Raw genomic sequence first — 24204 nt, forward strand, 5'->3', positions numbered from 1 at the left:
GTATACCACGGTAAACACCTACGGCACCCAACTCAGTCTACAGCAGGACACCCAAAAGTTAAATTCACTTTGGCTGTGGCTGTGCTCCAGGTACATATTTTCTCATGAGCTTTGTTTCTTTGTTCTAGAACCATCCTTCCCAATATTCCTTAACATTGAAATTATACATGTTAAATTAATTATTGTTCATTTAACTGATGAGCTGAAACTCACGTCCTTCCTTTTGAAAGCTAAAGTAATCTTCTAATAAAAGGTCAGGAATTATCAAATTTACTTGTAATTATTACTAATTCTTCTGTGACTTCTTTTTTTTTTTTTTGAGGTGGAGTCTTGCTCTGTCGCCCAGGCTGGAGTGCAGTGGCACGATCTCGGCTCATTGCAAGCTCCACCTTCTGGGTTCACACCATTCTCCTGCCTCAGTCTCCTCAGCAGCTGGGATTACAGGCGCCCACTACCATGCCAGGCTAATTTTTTTTGTATTTTTTAGTAGAGACGGGGTTTCACTGTTAACCAGGATGGTCTCGATCTCCTAACCTCGTGATCCGCCTGCCTCGGCCTCCCAAAGTGCTGGGATTACAGGCGTGAGACACCACGCCCGGCCTCTTCTGTGACTTCTTAACCACAAATAAAGTCTTGGCCTTGGAAAAAGGAAGATCTGAAACAGAACAAGGCAATTAAAAAGTGGGTGGAGGAAGTATAGGAGTAGTGGAGAAAAAAGAAAGGAATGGATTTTCTAAATTTAAAACACTCTTTGCCCTTTCCTGAAATAATGACTTATATTCTTTGAGTTCACAAGAGAGTAATTGGATATGCATGATGCAATGCTGGAATTTTAGGTATTTTGCCTAAAGGTTATTAACAATTAGTACCACTAGGGGAAAAATCATAAAGTTAGTTAGAATAACAACCCTCTCTCAAAGGATAATGAAAACTGGACTTGTAATCTGGTCATAATAAAAATATATTATGTTTATATTGGAGCCTCACATGTCAAGAGGAAAACTCACAAACTAGAATATGTCCAACAGGTGGCCATGACTAAATGAAGACTGAAAAACAAGTTGTATGAGGACCAATGAAGGAATCTTCCTTTGAAGCAGTAAAGACTGCGAAAAAAAACATGAAAAACTGTCTTTAGATAAATCCTTTAACAGGAATGGTACACAGAACAGGGAGATGTTATAAGTGGAGCTACTGATGACAGCATTAGAGCCAAAGGGTGAAAGGCAGATGTTGAGTCATTCAATAGAAGAGGTGTCTGATCTCTTCCTATCCAATGTAGCAGAATCCATCCCATACTATATCTGAAAGATGACCACTTTGCTTTGACATTTGCAGTGGTACAGAACTCACTATCTCAAGAATACCTTCCTCGGGATGGTAATAAGTATGAGAAATGCCCTTTCTAGTTCTAAATTTCTTCTCCACAAGACAACTCATTCCATTTTCAAACAATTATTAGATCTATCCATCTCTTAGTCTTCTATTTGTCAAGCAAACATCTCCAATTCCTCACATCATTATTAATTCAGTATTGTGAACCTTGTACCATTTTAGTCACCAGCTTTGTGGATAATCTTTGGATTGTAGTGTCTGTAACTGACATCCAAATTAAGTGCTCTTGATATGGTCTAACTAGCAACTGACCCCATCCATATTTCTATTTCCAAAGCAGAGAAACAAGAAAATCAATTGGCCAATATAACTGAATAAATCCAGGTAAATACATATTTGGCTTTCAATTAGTCAGGAAGTCTGAATTTCTAGAGGATATTGAAGATACAGCATCAGACAATGCATTTGTCTGATTGCTGACAACTTTTAATTTCCCTGTTCAAGAAAATCGATCAATGTGTGTTAGCTAAACACCTGTTATGTTCAACCCTGTGTTAGTCATCATTTGATGTGTAACAGAAGTGTAAGGCCAGGTACCTACAATATTTGTAGAGTCAATACTAAGGTACATGAAATAATTTTAGAGTTTTTACAAGATATACATCATTATGTATACTTATATGAAATAGTCTCAAGTTCAGCAGGGAAGACTGGGCCCAGGTGGGCTGAGGAATGCATGTGAAGAGGTAGGGAGGCAGGAAACTTGAAGGATGGTTAGGGCTTGTCTATTTGGAATGGAGAGAGAGGCCACAAAGGAGTGCGTGTGTAGAAATAATGAGTAATAAAGGAGGTCAAGGTTAGTAGGGACGTGTGTGGTTACAAATAGAAATATTTGGATTTGTACCATAACATTTCTATTACAACTTCCTTTCTCCCATTCCAAACATGCTTGGTTTTACAGAAAAAACTTCCAGGACTCAGATTTCCATGGGTATTAGTTTGCAAACTAATCCCTGATGAGATATTATGAGGAGCTAAGAGAGTGATGCTAGAATTCTCAAGTGGCAATGGCAAATTTCAGGGCTGACTTCCTGGATAACCAATTCTTTTTTTTTATTCTGAGCATGGGAATTTCAGTTCATCCAGCAGAAGAAATGTTTTTTGATAGATGTGACTTTTGGTACATTTTGAATTATGTCATCTTGGGGACAAATGGTCCCAAAAGCCAAGGTCCTAAATGTGTACATCTGATCCAACTCTAAGAACTTTTGCTCAGTTGTGACGTCAAAGAATTTCTATTTTAGAGTGGTCTTCTGCAACTGATACCATCCATATTTCTGTCTCCAAAGCAGAGAAACAAGAAAATCAATTTGCCAATATAACTGAATAAATCCAGGTAAATACATATTTGGCTTTCAATTAGCCAGGGAGTCTGAATTTCTAGAGAATATTGAAGAGACAGCGTCAGACAATGCAATTTCCTTTAATAGGGACCATAACCTCAGAGTTGCTGCTCTGTTTTTTAATATTGTACAATTAACTTTTTTTTTTTTTGCAGCACACTCTGCTTATAGCTTCTGTGGAAACTTAAACATTATTCAATAGAATAATTTCCTGGAAAATCTTTTGAAAGTGGTCACAGCCCTGACCTTGCTCTGGTGCCCTGGGTCCACCAGCATGCTGTTTCATTACCTCAGGAAGGTTTGGTGCCAAGAGACAGTCCAAGAGTTAGTGCATAAAGAAAGCTAGGTTCATAAAAGAATTAATATCTGCCTTCTTTCAAGGAGGGAAACTGCCACTTCCAACCATTTTATGCATCTATCACTTCTCTTCTATCTTCATCATTCAACCCTTCAACTGGCCTACCTAGATGACAGGTAAAAATTATAGATTTTTAACTCTTAAGAAATAACTGCCGAAGTCATTTCTTCCAAACCATTCTCATTACCAATGGGAAACTCAGGCCCAGAAAGCCTAAATGACTTTTGCAAGACCACAGAGTAAGTAGCAGAGTCAGGACTTAAACTCCACATTGCAGAAGATGAACCAGGGATGATATTTTTAAAACTTAGCAATGGTATGACAAAATCACCAAACAGTTAGAATAGAGCCTCTGATTGTACTGGTGTGCCATTAAATACCAGCCCCAACTGGATTACAGTGTATATCAGTAATACTTTAAGGGATAAAGAGAAAAAATGTGCCACTTACTATCAAGCTATTTAAAGGAGCTAGGTAATAAAATAATCATAATTTATTTTTACTGTTGGTTCTTCCCTTTTTCATCTTTTTGCCTTTTTTTTCCATTGTCTTTCTTGTTACTAATCCTGTGAAAATTCACCCTCTGTTTGGCAGCCCGGGTCATTGTTATTTGTGCTAAGCTCCTATATTATTAGTCTGTTATCATATTGCCATAAAAAAACTACTTGAAGCCAGGCGAGGTGGCTCATGTCTGTAATCCTAGCACTTTGGGAGGCCGAGGCAGGCAGATCACTTGAGGTCAGGGGTTTGAAACCCGACTGGCCAACATGGTGGAACCCTGTCTCTACTAAAAGTACAAAAATTAGCTGGAAATTGCTTGAACCCAGGAGGTGAAGGTTGCAGTGGGCCGAGATCGTGCCACTACACTCCAGCCTGGGCAACAGAACAAGAGTCCGTCTCCAAAAAAAATAAAAACAAACAAACAAACAAACAAACAAAAAAAAACAGCACAACTACTTGAGACTGGGTGATTTATACAGAAAAAAACATTTTATTGATTCACAGTTCCATAGGCTGTATAGGAAGCATGGGTGGGGAGGCCTCAGGAAACTTGCAATCATGGTGGAAGCCAAAGCAGGCACATCTTACATGGCCAGAGGAAGAAGCAAGCAAAGGTGGAGGTGCTACACACTTTTCAACCACCAGATCTCATGAGAACTCACGCACTATCACGAGAACAGCAAGGGGGAAATTCACCTTCATGATCCAGTCACCTCCCACTGGGCCCCTCCTCCAATTCTGGGGATTATAATTCCACATGAGATTTGGGCAGGGACACAAATCCAAACCATATAAGCTCCATTCTGCATTCAAGTGTATGTTGGTCTTGCCAAAATTATCAATACCTTCTCCGTAAATACCACTTTCAAGCCTTGTAGGTTAAGCCCTGATTATGTTTGTAAAAGTAGCTTGATCTACATGTCTACAATTGTTCTCTAATTTGCTTTATCCAAATGGAAAAAAAAACACACAATATTTTAGGCCTTGATTTTCATCATGAATTTTTAAAAATCTAAAATTGCCTCTTCATTGTGTTATTTCAAAATCATGAGATATCCTTTCATTGCTTCTACTGATAAGGTTGTTTGTAACTCAAAATCATAATTGGTAGATCAACAGAATAAAATTATGAGATACAAATATACATTTGATTATTATTGCTACTGGTTAGAGCCTTCACTATGACATGCAGTGACATGCTCACAGAAATGACAAGCCCTAAAACTTCTTGCTTTTTGGTTAAACACTTTATGATTAAACATTTCAATCTTTAAACTTTCTAATAGTATCTTGAAATTGTGTATCTCATTTTAACATTTTTAAGCCACTTAGACAAATGACTTTTTGCCATGCTTGCTTGACTTTTTTTCTTGCATGGACTTACAGATAAAGGTGGTCTCATCCCTAATGAACATATGAGGCCACAAGAATTTCTCCTTTTTTTTTTTTTTTTTTTTTGTTGTTGTTGTTGTTTATTTTTGATACAGGGTCTTGCTCTGTCACCCAGGCTGGAGTACAGTGGCAGGAACAAAGCTCACTGCAGCCTCAGAGTCCTGGACTCAAACCATACTCCCACCTCAGCCTCCTGAGTAGCTGAGACCCAGGAGCACTCACCACTTCCAGCTAATTTTTTGTAGAGACAGGATCTTAAACTCCTGGGTTCAAGCAGACTGCCCACCTCTGTCTCCCATGTGCTGTGATTACAGGAGTGAGCCACCATGCTTGGACAGTTTCTCCTCTTGAATCATCAACAGTCCCTGTAAAGTCTCAAGAAAAGTGTTTGGAGTATCCATAATGTGCTAAGTCACTTAGGAACAAAGTTACACAAAACACATCCCCAGTTTTTGTCTCTATGCTTTCAAGATGGGTGAAACTTTATGTTTGAAGTTTCATGTTTTATGCCAAGCATGATGAGAGATAGAGGAATGGGAAGACTTGGTCTTACAGGTTAAAGATGTGAAACATACAAAACATGCTCTCATGAGATAATTAGACAAACAAGTCAGTGTGATTGAGAGCAACATGCTGGGAACTGGTTTAGAGGCTCCTGGAGGTAAGGACAGAGTCACTGTTACATGTTTGGGGTATTTTGCTGAAGCATCGCAGAGGCAGCATTGTCCTCGTCAACAGGAGATGGGGCGGGAGGAAAGGAGAGCAGAGGGCTGCAACCAAAGCAACCCAGGGTCCAGGTGACAGATCTCCCCTATTGGTAAAATGTGATTCATGTGGTAGCACCGCACTGGGAGCTTCAGTACCTTTAACTTTCTCTCTCAGGCTTTTACACCTGGTGAACGTCTAGAATAACTGCCACAGAAAATACATCTATGACATTTAATCACTGAGTGTTCGAGAGAAGGCAAAGCCCGGACACCAAGTAAGCCAGGTACCCCTGAGGCAAACTCCAGAGGCTTCCCTGGGCCGTGAAACCAGCCAAAGAAGGCAAAATTCACCCACCCTCCAAAAGACGTTTGCGTTCCCACGCATGTTCTCCGCCCTGAGATAGCTTAGAACACAGCTCTACCAACGACTTTTCATTTCCATTAACCTATTCCTGATTCTTTGATTCAAGGAACCTTGCCATCCTTAGCTCTTTGGATTATTTATGAGGTCTGATTTATAATACAAAATTATACAGTGTACCATAGTTAAAACCTTGAAGGAAAAAATGCATTTTGTATTTCTTCTTCTTGGAGAGGCCCAAACACCCCTCCCCAGGGTTGGAAAGGAGAGTGGAGGTAGGGTAATGGAACTCCCTCTCAGGCCTCTGAATATGGAGAAATTAAGAAGAATGGGATGGGGTTGGGGGACAGAGGTAGTAAGCAAACAAATGACTTATTTTTAATCTAGAGTTACCCATTTGGAGAGAGATACAGGGTTATATCCTAACGGTACCTTTTTAAAAAATAAGTCATAAGTATGCTCATGCCCTAACAAGTTAGTGAATTTTTCCAGTAAAATTAAAATTAAATAGAAAGCCATGGTAAATTACCCATTTCATTTCTCCTTCTAGATTTAAAAAAAAAAAAAGAGGCACTTTGTCGCTTCTTACTGTGAGTGCACTTCAGCCTTAATACATGCATTTATGTCAAGGGGGCCATTTACACTGTTGTCTGCTGGAGTTTTTCTTCTTTCAACTTAGTAGGGAATATTTGTAATCTTTATTACCCCAAATAAATCTACAAAATGCCTTTTGCTTGAGGCCTTTTATTTTAATTTCAGATAAATAAATCACATTAGGTTCCTGGCTGTCATATTAAGATAAGCATGGATCTAAAAATAACAAAAGTGTGTTTTAAGCTAATGTCTTTAGATTAAATAGTGGTAAATTTCTCTGGGTGACCCCCAAATCGTATTGATGTTGGGATATTTTTTGGTACTTTTGGAGTGTTTCTTGAAGAATATAAACCTGTTTAAACTAGAAGTGGAGTTTTTAAGTCATGTATGGGCCTACTTGTACAGTATTATTCAAATCCAAGCTTCTTGCGGTGGCAGTAAATCTATCTTTTAAGTACGAATATTTCCCCAGTTACATTAGGGATCAATTTTATATCTTTGTTGGTTAATAGTGACTCCATCTATACAGTGGTTTATTTATTAACTATAAAGATCCTAGTCCTGAATTTCTCGTCATCCTCTGTACTGTTAGAGCTTAAAGTCTTAAAGACAATTCAAATTCAATGTATTCCATTACTGACTCTTCATCAGCCCTCACTCCAATTCTGCTCCTAATCAAGCCTTGGTTCAAAATGCCACCTCCTCTGGGAAGCCTTCTTTGGACTTCTGCAGGACAGAGTCTCCTAAAATGTGTTTTATAGAACCCCCTCCATCCCTCAATGCCCCAGTGGAATAATCTTGATAAATGTGAAATGTTTCTTGCAAACAAGGTTTAGAGTGAAGAGGAAGGGATAAACTCCCAAGGTTAGGACCTAAATATATGTTCTATGATGAATTAAAGAACAGTGGGCAGATTTGATAAGAAACAGGAAATCACAGATAGAAAGTGAGTGCAGAGTTTTACCCTGACCCTTTTTGTGTCTCCTTGCCCCAGAAAACCTGGATTCAAACTCTAGGCACCCCCTAATTAGACACATGCATATCACATACAGGTGACCTAAGTAAACTATAATGAAGATCGATCCCAAGGTGCAAGGTGATATCTTCTGGGTGATCTGGTTCAATCAAACCAGATGTCTTTCTGGACGTAGTTCTACTAAACCCTGTTGTTGCTGGAAGAAAGGTTCTTGGAAGACAGTGATGTTATTTCATCAGGGGCTTCATGGTTATAAGAAGCCTGAACACTCCCTTGCTTCTCTAAAGTATGACCAGCAGTCTATAATAAGTATCCTTTGGTGGATAGCTTATCCCATAGCTCTCCCTACGACCGTTCAGGAATAACATAACCATTGAAGCATGTGGCAATACCCAATTTCGAGAGCCCTGGTTTCATCTCCCTTGTGCTGGACAGAGGGCATAGCTGAGAGGCCAGACTCTTATCCTGGCAGGGGTCTGGGACTGTCTGCATCTCTGAAACAACTCCTGGTGGGTAATTGGGGAGTGACATTTGATGGGTTTCCAGGGTGGCTCTGGGGTCTGCACTTGGCTGAGAATACAGCTATGATTTAGAAATTCATCCCAAGGGTTGAGAACAGGGAAAGATAATGTGAGGCACGCTAGCCCTGGTCTCCTTTGACCTCAGCAGGGTGAATCAGGGATGCAGAACAGGAAACCATGTGCTGTTATTGAGTTGGCATAGCGTGATGTTTTGCTTTCAGAGCTTTTATTGCTATTACAGAGCACTGAGCTCTCTCTTTGTTTGCTACACATTCTCTCCCCAAGAGACAGCCTCTTTTCCTCTTGAGGGATTTAAAAAACAAATCATAGTTCTTATTTTATTCAGTGTCCACCATTAAGAATTCATGCAGAGCAATTTTACTTGTTGCCAATTAAGAGCTCCCAGTGGAGGTCTATGATTACAGTGAAGGCAACCTGTTTAATACTCGGCGTCCCCTTAGTCTACATAAATTAACCCCATGAGGATAGAGGCATGCTAATTCTTAAGATGCCTGGATGATAGGATTCTTAGATACAGGATACACAGAAGGTACATCTTCAAGAGGCTCTGGGCCTGACTCTTCTCAGAGAGCATGTCGGCTTTTTCTTCTTACCTGTATTTTACAACTACAAGATAATTTCTAGATAACATTTTAGCAAAGAATATTTCTTCCTCAAGGATAGAATAATGGCATGTGGCCTCGCAGCAAGCAATTTCTCTCTCTCAATTTAGAGCTGGAGGGAACGTTAGAGGCACCAGGGCCATTAACCTCTAGCTAAAAATGTATAGATATATCAAAATTATGGAGAACATGAATGAGCATTTTGAGCATGGATCATTTTATTTCAATGTTCACTCTACTTAGTTAAGACATATTTGAATCATAAGGAGAATGAAAGCAAAGTTTTTACCCAATGTTTTCCTATTTCTGTTCTTAGAATAAGAATCACATGCAAGCCAGAAAGGAAAGGTAAAATTCCATTTTAAAAATCTTGGATATATAAAAGTAATTATCTTTTTTTTGCTAGAAGGGATGAGCCTTAGAGGATCTTCTTCTGACTAGGGACTATACATGCTTTAAAAATTAGTCTTTTACTCCCCCTGGTGATGTAGGAAACCATCAGTTCCCCCGCCTTGGGAAGCAAGAGTTAAGTCTTTTACTTGGGCAAATGGTTTGTAATCAGTAGTTTAGATTCTTGGAAGTTTGTACTGAGGCTTTGACTTCCCCTCAGGAAATTAGTGAGGAACTTGGGATTGAGGTTCCTACAGGTTGACTTTCCCCTTTTACCAACAACCCAGACTCTTTTCCCCTTTTACCAACAACTCACTGCTAGATGCCCTTAAGTCACCCAGCCCAGTACCAGTGAAGCAGGTGGTACAAGTCATATGTATTCTATATTTGGATAGCAGTTAGATAGATCACCACTTCCCTCGATATGTTCCTTGAACCTTAGAGTAGATGCTCTAAGACAGATAGGATTTGGAGTTTTATTTTTAAAGTAAAAAATAAAATTTTATATCCAATATTTGCATATACGCAGCACATGTTAGCAGGATTAATGGCTCTGAGAAGTTCTACAATTAAAACAAAATGTTTAAGACTTGGTTTTACCTAAAATTTTAAAAATTTATTTGACCATGGAGTACCCTCATTTTTCTTAAAATATCTATGACATAGTGACGCAGAGTATTGGTGTTTCTTGGAATATACTCAGGAAAATGCTTGCATAGATTATTTAGACCACTGATGCTCAACTGTGAGAGGGGACGACTTTGTCCCTTAGGGAATCCTTGAAATATGCCCAGAGACATTTTTGTTGTCACAACTGAGGGATACTACTGGCAGGTGGTGTGAAAGCCAGGGATCATCCTAAACATCCTCCCCTACAATGAAGAATTGTCTGGCCCCAAATGTCGACAGTGCCTTGGTTGAGAAACCCTAGTGCAGATATAGCTTGTTCAAATGAGGCTTAGGTGATCTGGAATCCGTGGTTGGTAGCTGGCACTCTGCATTCAGATTTTGTCATTTGATTTTGATCATGGAGACCTATTACTCATTCTTCATTACCTTAAGGTTTTTGATAAAACTGTCACCAATTTGACTTATGAAAATTTGAAATAAAGATGCTAACAGTCCTTTCCTGAAACAAGCCCCTCCTTGGCTGGGGACCAAACCAACTGCCCTTATAACACTAACAAATTAGCCAACAAGATTAGAAATTATGGCTCAGGAGTCATGCAGCCAGAGGCCGCAAGATTCCTCACATGTCCAGCTGCTCCTGTGGGTAACATCATTATGGTAAAACCAAAGATTGGTATTTGAGGTGTTTTTCAGACCCTGCATTCTCATGGATCAACTGGCACCATCCAGAAAGGTGAACTGGCTCATCAGGTCTTGCAGCCCCCACCCAGGAACTGACTCGGCGCAAGAAGACAGCTTCGACTCCCTATGATTTCATCCCGACACAACCAATCAGCACTCCCCATTCTCTAACATCCCCACCCCCACCGCCAAACTATCTTTTAAAAACTCTGACCTCTGAATCTCGGAGGAGGCTGATTTGGGTAGTAGTAAAACTCCAGTCTCCCATTAACACAAAAAGAAAGAATATCTTAAGTGAATACTTGGACATTATCTAGTTGAGCTACTGGCAAGTTGTTAGATTGTTCCATTAGTCATTTCTACTCATAGGTTCTTTGAAGCTTTCTATGACATTTGTATTATGTAGCTGTATCATTGCATAATATTTAAGTGTTATTTAAAAACATGTGTTTTATAAATGCAATATAATATTCCAGACACCATTTCATAATCTCAGTGCTGAGTAATCTTAAATACTAGCTATATTAATACCTTCTTTTCACAGATAAGAAAACTCCATTTCAGAGATGTTATTTAGCAGCCAGTTTATGCAGGCCAGACAAGAGTCCAAGTCCCCAAAACCTCCAGTCCAGTTTTCTTCCTATTGTGTAGTATTATGCTGCTCTCACTTTTTTATATATAATTTTACATTTGTGGCTTGAAAGTAATTTCAATGCCATAAGCATTCATAAATTCAATTTGTATATTCCACCTGTTTATTCTAAACTCTTAATATGAGGCCGCAAATGGATAAAGATTTTTTATCACTTGTTAGGAAAGACATTTTCAGCACTTTTTTCTTATGTTTCTTGTCACAAATATATTTAGCCAAATCAGAAATAGCAACAAATGATATAAAAAAATTCTTTTTCTCCTAATATTAACTTTTCACATTAGAACAAATAGAAGTACAGGAAATTATGGTTGTGTTTCAACCTGAACTAGTATACAGGTTGTCACAGTGTGTGTGTGTGTGTGTGTGTGTGTGTGTGTGTGTGTGTGTGTTTTAAATCAAGCAGGGAGATACAGAGCAGATTAAACTCACCCCGACTTATGCTCAAGTCTTAGACTAAGTTCTAGATTCTGACTCCATTCTCTTCTTTAGATGAATTCTCAGTTTTCCTCTTTAGGAAGGATTTGTTGCTATCAAAAAGACAATTGAGCTTTTAAAGGACTGCTCATTGCTAGACAGTTATTTATGAACTCCATAAATTCCTTTGCAACTTGAAAACCCAGAGATAGATTATAGGTCTATTTCAACAGAATATTAGACAGGACCCCAAAATAACCAGTTATCTCAAGAGTGTTATTGCAATATATTTTTGTGTCACAGCAGATGGTTATGCTATAAGAACCAACTAAAGTTGGTTAAAGACTAGCAGCCCCCTCCATGGAGGAAAGGAAACTTTTTAATCTTTGCACCTAGTCCTATATTATTTATCCAAGTCTTATTCACCAAGTGGCAACAAGAGTATGCCTTATTTCAACCATGCTTCTGATCAGTCCTCAAAGGTGGTAGCCATAAATTAATCCTGACCACAATTATTATTGGAAGATCTAGATGTTCAGAACTTGACTCTAAGTTAGCTCCAGTATAAATGGAAGGCCACCAGTTAACATTAGCAGCAATGACAAATAGCCCACTCCATGACAATGGTAGCAGCCACAAATCAAAGGCATATAAAATCAGAGAAGGAGCCTATACTGATTTATGGGAGCATTTGTTTAACTTCAGGCAATCTGGTTGTGCTTGTGAACATGACATGCTATTCCCATGATCCCCTGTATATCACAGATTCTATTCTAACTTATGAACAAGCACTTAAAAATTTAATCATAACCAGAAAGGATTTCCTACACTGTTCACTGTCACTCACATATTCTTCTCTAAAAACAATTTGGCTACAGTTGTTGTTATGAAATTGTAACAACCATCATAAAGCCTGTCACTTTAAGTCAGTGAAGTCAGGATCTGTTGGCAAAAATATAATCAAAAGTAATTTCATGATTCAATAAATAGTATATAAATCTGCTATTATTGGAGTTCATTTTCTTTCAATACCACCCATTTCCATCTTCTCAATGGAATTATTCTGACTATCCAAGTGTCATTATTACCTTCTATTGTTATTTAAATGGAGCATTTTTATTAGATCCTCTGACACTATATATAAGGCTTTGCTTCCTCAGCAGTAATAATTCCATTTCTGAAGGAAAATAGAAGTAACTGTACAGAAAATTCTAAGCTCTCACTTTATGTTAACTCCATGCCTGAAATGGAATTTTAATTTAATCATATCTGAGAAGACCTAGGTTTTTATTAGCTACCTCAAGAAAGTAAGAAAAATAGCCCTTTCCATGCAGGTTGTTTTGGTTCAAAGAGCCCATGAAACCATTATTCATCTATAATAATGCGTGTAAGATACACTTACTAACCAAATTAAACTCTAAATTTCTTTCATCAGATGGCATTCATTATTTTTTGTAAATTTTTCTTTTGGAAGATGGGAAAAATAAAATATTCCGTATAAATAGTTGAAATAAAACATTATACCGGTTATACAGTTTTAAAAATATACTTTCCAAGAGATCTATGGAAAATATAATTAAAAGGATACAACCATACATGTTATTGCTGATTTAATTAATACATTGGTTCACAAAATAAAACTATCAGAATCAGGTTATAGTTCTCAAAGACAAATCTAGCAAATATTGCATCAATTACATAAAATTAACTGGTGTGCAACATGACGCATGTATACATATGTAGTAACAAACCTGCACGTTGTGCACATGTACCCTAGAACTTAAAGTATAATTTAAAAAAATAAAAATAAATAAATAAATAAATAAATAAAAATTAACTGGTGTGTCCATTAGGGTCGAACAGACTTCACTGAATTTTTGTTGTATCCTACCAGCAGTTTTTCTATGTATAGAAATAGAATATTCTCTATTACTGTAATCAGAGGTCTGTCTTCCAGTATAAAAACAAATATAAGAATATAACAAATTAAAACATATAGCACTTTACCCAAGACCTAGAACGCCTGAAAGAAGATAAATTTTGAGGTTATTAGAATTTTTACAGTGGCGCAACAAGAAGAGGCAACCCGGCCTGGTGAGGAGCCCCATGGTGATGGATTTGGATGAGGTCTAGCAAGAAAACAAGAGAGTTAGTAAGTATTTACCTGCCATCTCTGTGTACAGAGAGAGCACTCTCCCCATGCCGCAAGGAGATGAAAAGAAATAAAGGGGCCGGGCCCGGGGGCTCACACCTGTAATCTCAGCACTTTGGGAGTCCAAGGCGGGTGGATCACCTGAGGTCAGGAGTTCGAGACCAGCCTGGCCAACATGGTGAAACACTGTCTCTACTAAAAATACAAAAAAAAATTAGCCGAGTGTGGCGGAAGGCACCTGTAATCCCAGCTACACGGGAGGCTGAGGCAGGAGAACTGCTTGAACCAGGGAGGTGGAGGTTGCAGTGAGCCAAGTTCCTGCCATTGCACTCCAGCCTGGGCAACAAGAGCAAATCTCTGTCTCAGTCAATCAATCAATCAATGACTTTAGGGGCTTACTGAGGGTGGGTGAGACAAATGTACTTAATAAAACAATTTCGGTACAATATGAGGCATCACGTAATTAAGCACCAGCATATTTATTTCATAGACCGCTAGCAAGACTAATGAAAAAGAGAGAAGAATCAAATAGACACAATAAAAAATGATAAAGGGGATATCACCACCGATCCCACAGAAATACAAACTACCATCAGAGAATACTACAAACACCTCTACGCAAATAAACTAGAAAATCTAGAAGAAATGGATACATTCCTCGACACATACACTCTCCCAAGACTAAACCAGGAAGAAGTTGAATCTCTGAATAGACCAATAACAGGCTCTGAAATTGTGGCAATAATCAATAGTTTACCAACCAAAAAGAGTCCAGGACCAGATGGATTCACAGCCGAATTCTACCAGAGGTACAAGGAGGAACTGGTACCATTCCTTCTGAAACTATTCCAATCAATAGAAAAAGAGGGAATCCTCTCTAACTCATTTTATGAGGCCAGCATCATTCTGATACCAAAGCCGGGCAGAGACACAACCAAAAAAGAGAATTTTAGACGAATATCCTTGATGAACACTGATGCAAAAATCCTCAATAAAATACTGGCAAACCGAATCCAGCAGCACATCAAAAAGCTTATCCACCATGATCAAGTGGGCTTCATCCCTGGGATGCAAGGCTGGTTCAATATATGCAAATCAATAAATGTAATCCAGCATATAAACAGAGCCAAAGACAAAAACCACATGATTATCTCAATAGATGCAGAAAAAGCCTTTGACAAAATTCAACAACCCTTCATGCTAAAAACTCTCAATTAATTAGGTATTGATGGGACGTATTTCAAAATAATAAGAGCTATCTATGACAAACCCACAGCCAATATCATACTGAATGGGCAAAAACTGGAAGCATTCCCTTTGAAAACTGGCACAAGACAGGGATGCCCTCTCTCACCGCTCCTATTCAACATAGTGTTGGAAGTTCTGGCCAGCGCAATCAGGCAGGAGAAGGAAATAAAGGGTATTCAATTAGGAAAAGAGGAAGTCAAATTGTCCCTGTTTGCAGACGACATGATTGTTTATCTAGAAAACCCCATCGTCTCAGCCCAAAATCTCCTTAAGCTGATAAGCAACTTCAGCAAAGTCTCAGGATACAAAATCAATGTACAAAAATCACAAGCATTCTTATACACCAACAACAGACAAACAGAGAGCCAAAGCATGGGTGAACTCCCATTCACAATTGCTTCAAAGAGAATAAAATACCTAGGAATCCAACTTACAAGGGATGTGAAGGACCTCTTCAAGGAGAACTACAAACCACTGCTCAAGGAAATAAAAGAGGACACAAACAAATGGAAGAACATTCCATGCTCATGGGTAGGAAGAATCAACATCGTGAAAATGGCCATACTGCCCAAGGTAATTTACAGATTCAATGCCATCCCCATCAAGCTACCAATGACTTTCTTCACAGAATTGGAAAAAACTACTTTAAAGTTCATATGGAACCAAAAAAGAGCCCGCATCGCCAAGTCAATCCTAAGCCAAAAGAACAAAGCTGGAGGCATCACACTACCTGACTTCAAACTATACTACAAGGCTACAGTAACCAAAACAGCATGGTACTGGTACCAAAACAGAGATATAGATTAATGGAACAGAACAGAGCCCTCAGAAATAATGCCACATATCTACAACTATCTGATCTTTGACAAACCTGAGAAAAACAAGCAATGGGGAAAGGATTCCCTATTTAATAAATGGTGCTGGGAAAACTGGCTAGCCATATGTAGAAAGCTGAAACTGGATCCCTTCCTTACACCTTATACAAAAATCAATTCAAGATGGATTAAAGATTTAAACGTTAGACCTAAAACCATAAAAACCCTAGAAGAAAACCTAGGCATTACCATTGAGGACATAGGCGTGGGCAAGGACTTCATGTCCAAAACACCAAAAGCAATGGCAACAAAAGCCAAAATTGACAAATGGGATCTAATTAAACTAAAGAGCTTCTGCACAGCAAAAGAAACTACCATCAGAGTGAACAGGCAACCTACAACATGGGAGAAAATTTTCGCAACCTACTCATCTGACAAAGGGCTAATATCCAGAATCTACAATGAACTCAAACAAATTTACAAGAAAAAAACAAACAACCCCATCAAAAAGTGGGCAAAGGACATGAACAGACACTTCTCAAAAGAAGACATTTATGCAGCCAAAAAACACATGAAGAAATGCTCATCATCACTGGCCATCAGAGAAATGCAAATCAAAACCACTATGAGATATCATCTCACACCAGTTAGAATGGCCATCATTAAAAAGTCAGGAAACAACAGGTGCTGGAGAGGATGTGGAGAAATAGGAACACTTTTACACTGTTGGTGGGACTGTAAACTAGTTCAACCATTGTGGAAGTCAGTGTGGCGATTCCTCAGGGATCTAGAACTGGAAATACCATTTGACCCAGCCATCCCATTACTGGGTATATACCCAAAGGACTATAAATCATGCTGCTATAAAGACACATGCACACGTATGTTTATTGCGGCACTATTCACAATAGCAAAGACTTGGAACCAACCCAAATGTCCAACAATGATAGACTGGATTAAGAAAATGTGGCACATATACACCATGGAATACTATGCAGCCATAAAAAATGATGAGTTCATATCCTTTGTAGGGACATGGATGAAATTGGAAACCATCATTCTCAGTAAACTATCACAAGAACAAAAAACCAAACACTGCATATTCTCACTCATAGGTGGGAATTGAACAATGAGATCACATGGACACAGGAAGGGGAATATCACACTCTGGGGACTGTGGTGGGGTCGGGGGAGGGGGGATGGATAGCATTGGGAGATATACCTAATGCTAGATGACACATTAGTGGGTGCAGCGCACCAGCATGGCACATGTATACATATGTAACTAACCTGCACAATGTGCACATGTACCCTAAAACTTAGAGTATAATAAAAAAATAAAAATAAAAAAAATAAATAAATAAATAAATAAATAAATCTTGAAGCAAGCAAGGATCAAATAATTTGGGCTCTAGTTTTCACATTACAATTTTGCCATTCCAAGATGATAGTTTCTTAGAATCTAACAGTTTTTAGCCAGACAAGGACTTAGTATATATTCTGTAGTCTAACTGAAATATTTTAGATCAGCAAAGCTATAAAGGATGCTACCTGAGCAAGCAAATAAGAACATGAATTGAACTCACCTCCAGAGACTCCTGTGTTGCTCCTCAAGCTGAGTCAGCAGATGCTCAATGTATTTATTGGAGTCCATGTATTCCTGCACAAGCAGACAAAGACAGATGAAAACTCACTATGACAGTCCCCACCATCCTAAGACCCTGACCTTATCTCTACAAGGAGTATTTTTGACAACATTATCCCTACTTCCCTTCCGGTTCTAGGATTCTCTGCTTCTATGACTTGCAATCATATGTAAATACTATTTTTTCATGTCCTATGATAGTTTTGTAAACAAATCACAGAAGTGAACTGTCATTACACTGAGTCAGCATTACAATCCTCTTATTCACAGAAGAAAGGCCTAAATTTCATAGTCATCTAAACTGGAGTCTGTGTTCTACTGTATATAAATATTTCTGCCAATTATAGAAAAAGAAAATAGACAAAACAGTTCTTGATTTTACTGGTCTTATGACAGTCATGTTCCAGCAAAAGTAATGTTTTCAAACTATGTAGAATGTTTTATATAAATATAATATATACCCATATTCATTGGGCACTTGTATACACTAATGGACATGTCCATTTTTCTTCAACTCCATATATACACACAAAACAGTGTATTTGCTTTTTTTTTATTCTTAAACATAAATCTTTGGCTTCTAAAAAGACCTGAAAGGTATGGTGTATTCTGCTCTATAGAAATGTATATGTAAATTTATTTCTCTAAATCAAACTATTTTCCTGAAATGTATCTGAAAAAAAATTAAAGAATTCACGTGTTACATGAGAAGTAAGCAGAAAAATCCATAGGTTATTACAATGGATTTAATTTGTGATTTCTGCATACGAGGCTCATATGCAATGGTGTTTCCTTTGCTAACCTGGAGCAAATACAACCTATACAAATTCTTTTGTATTGTTTTCCTCTGAATCTGGTATTTTATTCCCTTTCTGTTTAGAGGTCTACCGTGCAGGCCTCTGCTTCTACATTATAGCAGCCGTCGATGGAACAGTATTCAATGATTTCAATGTTAAGGCACCCAAGAAAGCTAGAGTTCCATTTCTATAGATTTGAAATAAACTGGGAACTTTGATTAACAGTGACATTTTTCTTTCAGAAATATAGGTTTCTTTTGAAATGCTATACATAATATACTGCTCTTATAGAAATATTCACTATAATAAGGTGAGGGGCTGGGAGAAAGACAGGAGTTGATCCCATATAATGGAAAGGGACCAGTCCTGATTTCTTTTGATCCTGGATCTACCCATGCGGCCTTGAAAAGCCTTTTTTACCTTCCCAAAATGTTTGTTAGACTAGAGGGTATACTAAGTCCTTGTCTAGCTAAAAACTGTTATGATTCTAAGATACTGTAATTCTGTTATAGATAATTAGCTAAGAAGTTTTATGCTTATTGAATAAACATTTATTTTCAGGTGACTACTCAATAGTTATTTAAACAAGACCACTGGGAATGTTAAAAACAAAGCAGAAAGCTCTGCTACTGCAGGAAGTTGCAACATACATGGTTACGCTTTTAACTGTCCTGATCAAGGCTAAACCATGATTTAGAACACTTGACACTATCAAATACATGAATTCTCAAATATGTTCAGCCAAGAAAAACTAAATACGTTGTTCCCAAGTAGAAATAAATGTACAGATCTTAAAGTTATTCATTTTTTCTTCACTTAACAACTATTTTTAAACATCTGTTAGATGCGAAGAGCTGTTCTAAGTGCTGCAGATACAGTAATCATCAAGAGGGGGAAAGCCACTGCCCTCAAGGAGCTTACAGTCTGTCAAAGGGGTTATACTAAATAAGTGAACGGATTCGTTTCATGTTGGTTACGTGCTATGAAGTAAACAGGTGATAGGAAAGACTTTGGGAGGAGCAGCTTTGTCACGTGAAGACTCCAGAAGAAGACTCTAAGCAAGTGATATTTGAGCTAAGACTTGGAAGAGGAGAAGGAAACCATATAGAGAAAAGGGAGCCAGACATTACAGGCAGAGAAAACACCATATACAAAGGTCCTGAAATGTGCTGTTGGAGGAACAGAAGGAAGCCAGTGGGTGCTGGGAACAGGGACTCAGGGATACTGGGTCTAAAATGAAGTTGGACAGTTAGGCAGGACCAAATCATGTGCAAGCCTTAGAAAGCAGCTTGGACTTGTCATTTTGTTCATTCTGATTATCTCAAGTCAGAAGTTGAAGCTGAAAGGTGTAGTGATGACAAATGAGACTTTAGTATCAAAGAGACTGAGGTTCAAATCCTGGTTTTGATACTTACTAGCTATGTTCCCCTGGTCACATTATTAAATCTCTCTAAGCCTTAGTTTCTTCATCTTCGTCAGAGGGATAAATAATGCTTCATTTATGGAGGCATTGTAAGTGTTAAACAAGAAGTTTAAGTACATACATACCATCATGACTGCCAAATAGCAAGCATGGCCTTTTTCAGAGTATTATGTACCTCTTTTCAAAAGGAAGATCACTTTACAAGGTGAAGGCATTATTCATTTTCTCTTCTCTTGCCAAACTTCAAGATTTTTAAGTGTACAGTTCTTAGGTTATACACACTAAATATTAGAATAGGCAGTTAGGCAGAGATTGATAATACTGATCTCTAATCTGAATGTAGTTGTCACTGGCTTGTGATTTCAAAGCTATTTCAAATAAAAATACTAGCTGCTTCCATTTAAACTAGCTTTATCCTGTTTTCCATATAAATAACTATGATGACAAATCTTAAACCACTTAAAAATGGGAAACTAAGATTATTGATTCTTCATCCCTCTTTTCAGCTTTATTTTTTCTCTATGGCATTCTTACTTCCAACATTCAATATATTTTACTTATTTATTAAGGTATTGCCTCAATATAACGCTAACAAAAATGGATTGCGAAAAGAGACATTAATCTTACATATATTTTTTGTTAAGTGAAATTGTTTTTGCTCAACCTGAAATAGGAAGTACCTTCATACCTGTATCATTTCTGGACCCTGAACTGGAAAAGTTAGTTACCTAATGTGAAAACACTATCATAGGATTATAAAATAGGATTACTCCTAGGGGGAATTTTGTGGATCCCTTTGGAGATTAACTCCAAGAAAACAATGGAGGGTGGTAGCATTGGGGCTGGCAGTGGTTAAGAGGAAACTATGGTCACCATAAGTAAAATGCTATTGGCACAGTGGCTGCAAGAGCTTTGGGAGCAAGTACATACAGGAGGTTATTGTACAGAGACTTCAGTATCCCAGCATGCCTGCAAAGGCGAAAGAAAAGGTCCAGAGAGATTTTTTCAGAGTAAACTGAAAAAATGCAACATGGAACCCATGAACAAGTACTGTAGGACAAGAGAGAGGACATGATCCTTAATCATAAAAGAGGGTGTGACGGTGAAAATTATTTACATAAGAAAGATATGTAAGCATTTTAGAAAGAGCCTCAGACATGCTGACTAGTATCCAGAAAGATGTGGTCTCTCTGACACATGTGAAGAAAGTTCTTTTTTAATGTTGAGATGAAAAGACAGCAGAATTAGATTTTAAAAGATAATAGGGTGAGCAGCCAAGATAATAAAATGACATAAAATAAAGACAGGGCTGAGTGAGCTAAGAATTTCAGGGCAACATACACCTTACAGGCAGAATGGAAATCTATTTATTGCTGTCCTGTGATTCTTATTATGAGGTGACTCTCCCTACCATGAAATGGTGCTTCAGAGAAAGCAGGCAACAGGTTTTGGTGTATTGGCACTGAATCGTTCATACAGATGAAAGTCTATTTCTCAATATCTCATTTGGGAAACAATCAAATTCCCCAACCCAGGCCAGGTACTTACATACTCCTCTTCTCCTATTTCTACAGTATAAGTCAATTAGTGTACGTATCATTCAGTTAGTGAAGAGCAAGCATCCTGTCATCTAGGGAGAAAAAATAAACACCCATATCCACATATCCCTTGATGTCAGTGTTCACTATTCCTAACACATATCTATGAAAAATATCAATTTCCCAAGCCTTGCTTTGTTCAGCATGCAACTTCCTACCTCATTCAGCACAAAGATACTATTAAACTATTGTTACTAACTTGATGAACATCCTATTCTACTGGTTTCTGTTAGAATTACGAAACCCACCTTAGATACAATAAACAGTAGAATTGACAACGAAAACTTACATACAGTCCTGAGGAGGATAAACTTAATCTGTAACTAAATTAAGAAATAAAGGATAAGGATGAAAATGAATGCAGATGTGATTGATAAAAAGGCCAGAAAATATCAGTTTGTCAAACAATGATAGAATTTGAGTACTTGATAAGATTTGAAATGCAAACAACAAACAAAGGGATAAAGAAATATTTCAGCACAGGGGAAAAAATAAGGACGTGATTATGTACATCAAAAGGACTCATCACTTTCCAGGTAGAGTTAACGGAAAACAATCCACACATCTATTGGCACAAGAGTTGAAAAAAAATAGTGAAGAAAAAAAAGGGGGACTTGTTTGAATGCTTATAGCTCAACAAGGAGCAAAACCACATAGCTCCATAGCTTCCAGCCACCCCAAATGCCCATTGAAATTAGTTTATAGACAAACCATAAATATTATTCCCAATTAAGTAGCTCCTATATAACAAAGCAACAGAAAGACATTCTCAGGCATTCATGAATTCATAAAATACAGGACCTACATCTTTTAATTAAAAACTTATGTTTTTATGCATATGTGTATAACCAAAAGGTGTCTGTGTGCAGGTAAGTATATGTACATATACTATGCATTATCTATGCACATATGTAATACCTGAGCAAAGAATAAAAAAATATGGAATTCACAATATAAAAAGAGGCTTCAAAGGAGGTTCATCCCCCCAAAAAGATGTTTTAAAAAGTAATTACAAAACAAACATAAAATCCCAGAGAGAAAAAGTGGAATATACATTATCTATTTTTGTGATGGGCAGAAGGAGGACAAGAGGGAAAGAAAGAGGGAACTGTTAATAGAAGGGTGCATAAATCACTTTGAATATAGGGGAAGAAATTATTGTTCTATTTTTTTTTTTTTTTTTTTTTTTTTTTGAGACGGAGTCTCGCTCTGTCGCCCAGGCTGGAGTGCAGTGGCGGGATCTCGGCTCACTGCAAGCTCCGCCTCCCGGGTTCACGCCATTCTCCCACCTCAGCCTCCCGAGTAGCTGGGACTACAGGCGCCCGCCACCACGCCCGGCTAATTTTTTGTATTTTTAGTAGAGACGGGGTTTCACCATTTTAGCCGGGATGGTCTCGATCTCCTGACCTTGTGATCCGCCCGCCTCGGCCTCCCAAAGTGCTGGGATTACAGGCGTGAGCCACCGCGCCCGGCTATTGTTCTATTTTTGACTCGATAATAAAAAATGCTTAAGTATAAGGGTGTGTTTTGCCTGTGTATGTACAACTGGGGAAAGCAATTTGGTGATCCATGTTGTGATTTTAAGACATCCGTGCCCTTTTGATGTAGAAACTCCCTGTCTAGAAATCAGCCTGAGGAAATAATCAGATGAAAGCAAATGATATTCATTGAAATACTATTTGTGACAATATGAAAAGACTGGGTATGTCTTATTTTCCAAAACTATAGAAATAATTAAAATAAAGCATGCTTTTTTCGTTTGAAGAAATACAATTCTTTTTTTTTTTTTTTTTTTTTTTTTTTTTTGAGACGGAGTCTTGCTCTGTCGCCCAGGCCGGACTGCGGACTGCAGTGGCGCAATCTCGGCTCACTGCAAGCTCTCTGCTTCCCGGGTTCACGCCATTCTCCTGCCTCAGCCTCCCGAGTAGCTGGGATTACAGGCGCCCGCCACCGCGCCCGGCTAATTTTTTGTATTTTTAGTAGAGACGGGGTTTCACCTTGTTAGCCAGGATGGTCTCGATCTCCTGACCTCATGATCCACCCGCCTCGGCCTCCCAAAGTGCTGGGATTACAGGCGTGAGCCACCGCGCCCGGCCGAAGAAATACAATTCTTAAACTTTGTAAAGAATATATAATAAAGTAGAAAACAGTGTAATGCTAAGTGAAAGAAGGATAAAAAAACTGCACAATCCCTCTTATCACAATTTAGAAAATATATATGAAAGATTAAAAGTAATATCCTACAGTAAATGGTAATATTATGGGCTAATTTAATTTTCTTCTGTAAATTTTTTCTTTGTCTATAGTTTTACAAAACTATATGCTCATTATAAAAATTTAAAGTAATGGATATTATATAGAAAAATACAGTCCCAGAAAATAATGTCCATGAAGATTTGATTATAAATTTTAGAAAGCTTGATCTGAAATACCACAAGGAAACCATTTCCTTTATATTATTCTAAAGCTAGGCTCATGTTTGAAACAATGAACCCCCCTTTCCACTTGCCCTCGTTAGTGTTCTGATAAAAGCATTTCACCAAAGTTAGGATTAAGGGGGCTGAAGGTGGGGGGCACCAAGTTACACCAAGTCATATTTTATGTTTTAAAAATTTTACAAAGGTACAGCATTAAAAAGACATCTGTTCCCTGGCTAAAACTTATGCAAATTAGAATCATTTTAGAGATATATTTCAGGAAGTTTGCCTTTCACTTCTTTTAATGCACATGTTTCAGGGCAATTAGTATGAAACATTTAAAGTGATTAGAGGTTTATAGATACACTGAACATTGCAGGTCTTTGTAGCATAAGCCCATTTAATGTGAATCTCCTATTGTCTGAAATAGGTCAGTTCTGAGAGAGGCCCATTATAAATGAATTCTAATGATGTGAGGATCTTAAGTATCATTCATATTAAGTGGAGTTTAAAATAAAATCGTGTATCAAAGCTTGCAGAGATCCAAAAATCCCTCCAAATAATCTTC

The 24204-nt window shown here is 38.0% G+C and overlaps 1 protein-coding gene across 18 annotated transcripts in view; it reads right to left on the reverse strand.

The window, feature by feature from the left end:
- Window positions 1–24204, reverse strand: part of NCKAP5 (NCK associated protein 5) — a 1003049-nt gene that overhangs the window by 613907 nt on the left and 364938 nt on the right. For 16 of the 18 annotated variants that reach the window (XM_017003975.3, XM_011511100.4, XM_047444134.1 and 13 more), the window contains one exon: window positions 17343–17416. The exons of 1 other annotated variant lie outside the window; for it this stretch is intronic. In XM_017003975.3, the coding sequence (XP_016859464.1) occupies window positions 17343–17416 (74 nt within the window). Of the gene's footprint in view, window positions 1–17342; window positions 17417–21169; window positions 22120–24204 lie in introns of those variants that run through there. One more of the 18 variants, XM_017003977.3, reaches the window with a different exon arrangement.

This window comes from Homo sapiens, chromosome 2, assembly GCF_000001405.40.
Source record: "Homo sapiens chromosome 2, GRCh38.p14 Primary Assembly".
NCBI lineage: Eukaryota > Metazoa > Chordata > Mammalia > Primates > Hominidae > Homo > Homo sapiens.